Source organism: Homo sapiens, chromosome 8 (assembly GCF_000001405.40).
Source record: "Homo sapiens chromosome 8, GRCh38.p14 Primary Assembly".
NCBI lineage: Eukaryota > Metazoa > Chordata > Mammalia > Primates > Hominidae > Homo > Homo sapiens.
Window position 1 is genome coordinate 89,854,512 of NC_000008.11, and position 6,807 is coordinate 89,861,318.

The following is a 6,807-nucleotide window of genomic DNA, read 5'->3' on the forward strand; positions in this document are numbered from 1 at the left end:
ACAAAATGAGAAGCCAGAAAGACAGCCAAGAAGTTAGCGTTCATCCTCTACACAACTGCACTGAGCGCCTCACATTTCCCACCCATGGCAGCCTCTCTCCATTCAGTGGTGGATTCTGGACAAATGAAATAAATTCTTCCCTGGCTTGTTTTTGTTTCTTGAAAAATATTGCAAGACATTTCTGTAAACTGACTGACAAAGTCCCAGAAAGAGAAATGTAATAAATGCTAGATAATCTCTATGTTGAGTAACCTCAAGACCATGAAACTTGATTCCTCTACATCTGTACTGAGAAGATGGCAAGGAGAGGGGAGAATGGCGGCAGCATTTCCTTTTCTTTTTGCTTCCTCCAATCAGTTACGGCTGAAGCAAGCAATCTTTGTCTGAGGTGCATACTAAGAAGTTGGGAAAGGTTTGGGATAGATCACAGATGAGTCAGGAACAATTCTATCTCTTATTGCCAGGAAGAAATAGCTGAGCACAGGTGGGCAACCTAAGCCCCATGTAATTCTGTTACAGCTAAGAGGACCCAGAATGTCTGGGCCATCAGCTTATTGATTGCTACCTCTAATGCTAGAAGAAATGAGTGTTTTCTCTTTGAAAAAAATTGTTGAAATGCATTTAAAATTTTAAAGAAATTCTTCCCCACACTACCCCCACCCCAACTCCTTCCCTTCCAAAGCAAAAGTTCCCAAAATACATGGCTTTGTGATACACTTAGTGTCTCAGTATTTTTATCATACGCCTCAGGCCAAAAGAAATACCTAATAGGCCAGGTGCGGTAGCTCACACCTGTAATCCCAGCCCTTTGGGAGGCCGAAGTGGGCGGATCACCTGAGGTTGGGAGTTTGAGACCAGCCTGCCAACACAGTGAAACCCGTCGCTACCAAAAATACAAAAATTAGCCGGGCATGGGGGTGCATGCCTGTAATCCCAGCAACTTCACAGGCTGAGGCACAACCATGGCTTGAACCCAGGAGGTGCGGGTTGCAGTGAGCCAAGATCACGCCACTGCACTCCAACCTGGATGACAGAGTGAGACTCTGTCTCAAAAGAGAGAGAGAGAGAGAGAAAAGAAATACATAATAGTTAGGTTTATTAGGAAGTTAGGGCCAATTTAATTTGACAAATAAATACATATGTCTTATCAAAGTAATGGCCATTTGAAAAAAATCAGATACATAAATAAAAGAAAAAATTATACTGTCATTGTGCTCCTAAAGGGCCTCAATTACTTACTGAGGGGATATGTGTGCTGGCTGGGGATTGGACAACTTCTCAAACCTCAGACACCACCACCCTCAGTTTCTGCATACACATGGATTTTTCTAAGGGTAACTACTTTTTATCAGCAACTGCTTTTGTTTCAGCAACAGCTGAAAACCCAACCTCACGAAAATATTACAGGAGGATTAGCATGAACTAATTTTAAAACTGAACTATTTTGAGCTTGGAATTTACAAATAACACTGTGATCCCCCGTGAATTCATTGAGGGTGCTAAGGCACACAGTTTGGGATCTGTGATGGAAAGTTAAGCTACTGAGGTTGAAGTCTTAGAAGAGTACATGAAGTGGAACTTCCCCATTTTCTCAGTATTTGCTTGTTTGCCCCGGGGAACACATGTTCTAGAGGAGAACACAAAAAGGAAGTAGCAGCCAGGGGCTGAGATCCACCAGGTGCTGTTCTTTTAGTCTGATCCTTAGAGAATCATCCCTGCCAAGCTCTCAGAACCACCACTGCTTGCCCCTGTCTAGCATGGAAGTGGTGATTTTTTAATCAGGCTGTCTCTTTTCATTCATATAATCCTTTCTTAAAAAAACAACTTGATGTTGTAGGAGGAGAGCTAGATTTACAGATGACTGGATTGGGGCCCTTTTTCTACCACCTCATAAGTAACCTTGGGCAGGTCACTTATTGTTTCCAAACTTTAGTTCTGAAGGTAATCCCTTTCCGCGTGCAATCCAATATTTTAGTCATAACTATATAACACATTTGAATGAGGTAAAATTTCTCTAACTCACTGTGTATAAGAATCATTTGAGAGCCATGTTTAAAACGCAGAAACCTAGGCTCAATTCTCAAATATTCTCTTATAGCAGGTCTAGGATGGGACCCAGGGATCTGCTCTTTTAACAAGCAGCTCCCCCCACCCCCCAGTGACATAGACTCAGGTAGGTTAGCAGTTGAGAAACATTAGTAAAAGGTATCGTTTATTTAAATAGTTGCATGTATATAATTTCATCCTCTCAACTAACCTTTTAAAGTAGCTGGACTGGCATTATTTTCATTTTATAGAAGAAGAAACTAAGATTGTAAAAGTAGGATGATGGTGGCAGCCCCAGATCTTCTGTGCAGGTAGGGCGTTGGCATGGCAACCTGGCCACAAAGCTGGAGAACTGGTTTTGTAGACACCATTGCATAGCAGGTACACTATTTCACTCAGATTGGATGGAGCTTGAGGCTGCTGATGGCCTCTCCCAAGGCCCCACAACTCCCAAGGTCCTTGGCCCTATTCCATTAAGAGGCTTACCTAACTTTCTCTCAGTCACTGTGAGGCAGAGTTCGAACCAGAGCCAGAACTCCTAGTCTAGTTCTCTAACCCTTACTGTCTCACACTGACACTACGTTTGTTTTTGGAAATACAATATCTGTCTGAATTTATGCTATCTTTTTAGTTAACACTCTGCCCTTAGTAAATATAGAAAAGTAATGTATTCTTCAAAAGTAAGGTATTTAATCAAGGCTTAGAGAACTTTTTTCCTAGACATTTACTTTGCCTACCCTAGGAGGAGTCACTAATCAATATTATTGTTATTAAAGTAATAGGATTAATACAAGACCCACTTTACTGATCTTTCACTCTGGGCCAGGGAGTATGCTAAACCCTTTACAAACAATATGTCTAATCCTTACATCAGCACAATCAGAAAAATGTCATAGCTTCATTTTAAAGATGAGGGACTGAGACTCAGAGAGACCAAATAACTTAAATTCACATGGCTTCCTAACATCCATAGAGTCATCATTTACAACCAGGTCTCTGGGATTCTAAATTCCTGATATTTCCTCTGTATCACTCCGCCTCCTTGTGTTAGTAGACATTATTCTAATGATCAGAGAGACTGAACTTGTCTTATATATAACATACCTAATACGTAAATGTCTGTCCACTAAACTGCATATTCCTTGAGGACAGCATGTCCTACTCATTTTTGGATTTCGCATACCTAACAAAGTGCGTGGCACACAGCAAATGCTCAATAAGTGTTTAATAAATTAAAAAAAAATTTTGAGTATATAGATATATCTAATATTTCAAACAAAGCGTACTTTAAAACATTTTTAGTTTTTCTCAGTCAATAAAACTCTTGACCAAATAAAATCTCTGTCAAGCTACGGTTTTCACAAAATATAAAACTTTCTTTGTTTCCTAATAGCTGAGCTACAAGTAACTTTCTCACAGTTGGGGAAGGATCATGAGGTCACTCGGTCCACCCTGGAATGGAATGCCCACTTGTTGCTTGTTCAGGGAACTGATGATGCCAACAATTCTTTGTCTTTGGTATAATCAGACTCTGAAGTGGGTCCAGCCCTCTCGGTACAGGCTGCCAATGCAGGCAGCATCACTTCCAGATAATTTCCCTCGGTTCTGCTGACTTGGAAAATCAACTCCCAGTCAGACAGGGTGCCCCTATTCAGATGGGACCAATGTTTCTTAACCTTTCTTTTTAGGGGTTGGGGGGTGCTGGAGGAGATGCATGAAACATTTTGAAATAAAAAAGGATTCATGTGAATCCTGAAGCCAAGGTCAATCAACACTTAAAATAAGATTTAAAAGTAAACTATTTTGCAAAACCAAGCATTTTCTTTTCCCACTTCTAAAATATTTTCTAATGGCAATGATTTGAGTTGGGTAAAGTATAGCTTTCAGTGTTTTATCTAATAGATGGAGAGACATCAGAGTGATTTCTGACACTCCTTATGACCCAAAACATTATTCAGCAGCAGCTTGTCCTGGCTATTTTTTCATTCTACTGTTGGCATTGGCACATCTGGGGAAAGTTCGTATTTCCGTCAAAGAAAAACACAGGTTAAAAGAAAACTACATAGTATAATTTTATTTCCACTGAGTGAGCTTGGCAAGCTATTACAACTTTCACTCTTAAGCTCTATGTATAAGATGTTAGTTATCTAGGGGTTATACTCACTTCTTACACATTTAAAGGCAGCAATACATGCTGAGTTATGGCTATGAAGAATCTCCCTACAGCTATTCTCAGAGTCAAGACAGGGCCCTGACCACTATGTTTACAAGTGTTTTTGACTTTGCAGTATCTGCAACTACAGATGGCACACACAAAGTATCCCCAAACACTTTCTTGGCAAAACCAGTTTGGAAACCTTTATCTTACTCATGAGGCATGTTTCTGTTATGTAATACAGCACGCTGTGAAGAATCACAAGGCCTGGAAGGACTGTACCCTCTCCAGCATTTCTAGATCAGAGGTGAAATAACAAAAGAATATGAATTGATAAGACTATAAAGAGAAAATGTTTTATCAAGCTGTAGTTGAGGGAAATTGCAGTGATCCACCCAAAGGCCTGTTATTTGCTCTGGTAAACATTATCATTTTACTATTTTACAACTGAGGAAGCCAAGTTTGGGAGAATATAACTAACTTTCCCAGTAGCACTGCTAGATAATATGACAAAGGTAAGATGACAAAGTCAAATGATCCCATATTCCAATACCACATGGATTCTGACATCCTTTCCTTAACTGAATACATGTGAAAAATACTATTGTTTAGTTATTTCAGATACTATGGGAGGCAACATTAATGTGAATAATAGAGTGTAAATAAAAGAAACATTTTCTTAAACTTTGATATGTGTTTCCATATCTGTGTTTGAATATGGATGTTGCTAAAACCCTTAAAATTCATATAACTGCCTCATTCCCCAAAGCCAGGGGAGAAATTTAGCTATCTTGATTTCAAAGCAAACCTCATATTTCTTTCCCTTTCAATGACTTTTGGATTTGGAATTTCCAAGGCACAAAATGAGATTAATGTACTTACAGGGATAAAATAACTGATTTGAAATCAGAATTGTTTGAAACACATGGTTACTGTTTTTGCAAAATGTAATCTAGGGTTATACACAAGAAAGGTGATAATGTTAACAGAGAAGTTACTAGAACTGAGCTAATGAAAATGTCATCGGAAAGTTAAAGACAAAATTTATTTTAGATAAATCTGTATTGTTTACGCATTCACAGGACTAAGCGGGTGATACTTTAGTAACATGCCTTGCTATTTCTAAATCATGGAGAGACAGAAGAATGCTTGGAATTAAAAAGGCAGTTGAACTAATTAATCTGCAATGATGTTTTCAGACTGAAATGTTATATTCTAAGTTTCTGAAAGAATTACACTTTGTAGCCAGCTAAAGATCTTGGAAAGGAATACACATATTAAACATCCTGACAAATATTTTCCTATCTACAAGGTTTTTAAATTCCTGCAGCATATGATAACAATGGAAAATCTAGATAACTAAAACTGTATTATATGATACGGGGTTGTGGTTTTCATTAATAATAATAATACAACATCAAAAATATTAAATCAACAATAAAAGTAGTATATACTTTTAGAAATTAAAAAAATGGAAAAGAAAATTTTAAAATATACTGAAAGGTAAAGAGCAAAAACAAATACTAAACCATGCCAAACACAAATAAAGATAACATGTTGATGTGTTTTCTTCATATCTTTTTTTCAAACATAAGGCTTGGGCATTTTTTAATACATATAATTGAAACCATACAAATCTGTACACTTGTTTTGCATTCTGTGTGAATCTACCCCATCTTATTTAACCATTCTCCTATAGTCAGACATACAGAATATATTCTTTTCAAATATAAGTAACATTGTTACTACAATTACATTGAAAAAAAGATTGTTTCTAACAATCTTTTTTTCTAGCAAAGATGGTTGCTGGCAAGAGGATCAAAATATATAAATCATTTAAAATTTTATTCAACATTAGTTCTATGATGCACATTTTTAAAAATTTTTAAATCTCTGAATTTGTAATGCAACATACAACAAATGAAGTCAAATTTCACTTTTGGCTAGGCAGTAGTTTTCATTGCCTTCGTGTGTGTCAACTCAGTGGGTACACCTGGTAGCAACAACTGGATCACGGTACCCCCCACATTTTGGTTCACAAGCTCTAAAAGGGATCTTTTGAAGAAAAAATAACAGTCTTGGCTATTCCCTGAGAAATTTATATTGACATCCTTCTGGCAAGATCAAGAACACACGTTTCAAAACTTACTTACTGGGATTTAGCCACTCCCACTGAAAGAAGGACATAACATTTTATCCTTGATAGCACAGGAGACAAAATTATGTAGAGAAATGTGGACATAAACAACTCCAAGTAAAAGAGTAACACGGAGATTTGGATTCTGAATATAAAGTGGTTTGCTTGTATTTTTCTTTTTATACAGGCATTAGAAATATAAATAATAAAAATTCATGTCTAAAGAATTCTAAAATAACTAAGTATAAAACAAATATTATAAATGACAAGAAATCATTGTGTTAAAGTATAGGCAGCTTTATTTCTTCCTTAGTGATAAAAAAAGTTGCATCTTAAAATTAAAGGAGTTAAAAAAAATATGACATTCTGACTATTAACTATTTAGACGAAAGGCATTTGAAAAACAGCAGGTGCAAAAAGATCACTCCGAACTCTGTGCTGTTTCTTAAACGCAGAAGATGAAATTCCC

At 37.1% G+C, this 6,807-nt stretch overlaps 2 annotated features.

Moving 5' to 3' along the window:
- Positions 207-407: a silencer, noted in NCBI's record as "peak7104 fragment used in MPRA reporter construct". NCBI's record gives its function as "represses an SCP1 promoter by STARR-seq MPRAs in K562 erythroleukemia cells {active_cell/tissue: K562}" and the evidence as "EXISTENCE:reporter gene assay evidence [ECO:0000049][PMID:32103011]".
- Positions 3,370-3,664: a silencer, noted in NCBI's record as "tiled region #7187; K562 Repressive non-DNase unmatched - State 24:Quies". NCBI's record gives its function as "represses a minimal TATA promoter and a strong SV40 promoter by Sharpr-MPRA in K562 cells {active_cell/tissue: K562}" and the evidence as "EXISTENCE:reporter gene assay evidence [ECO:0000049][PMID:27701403]".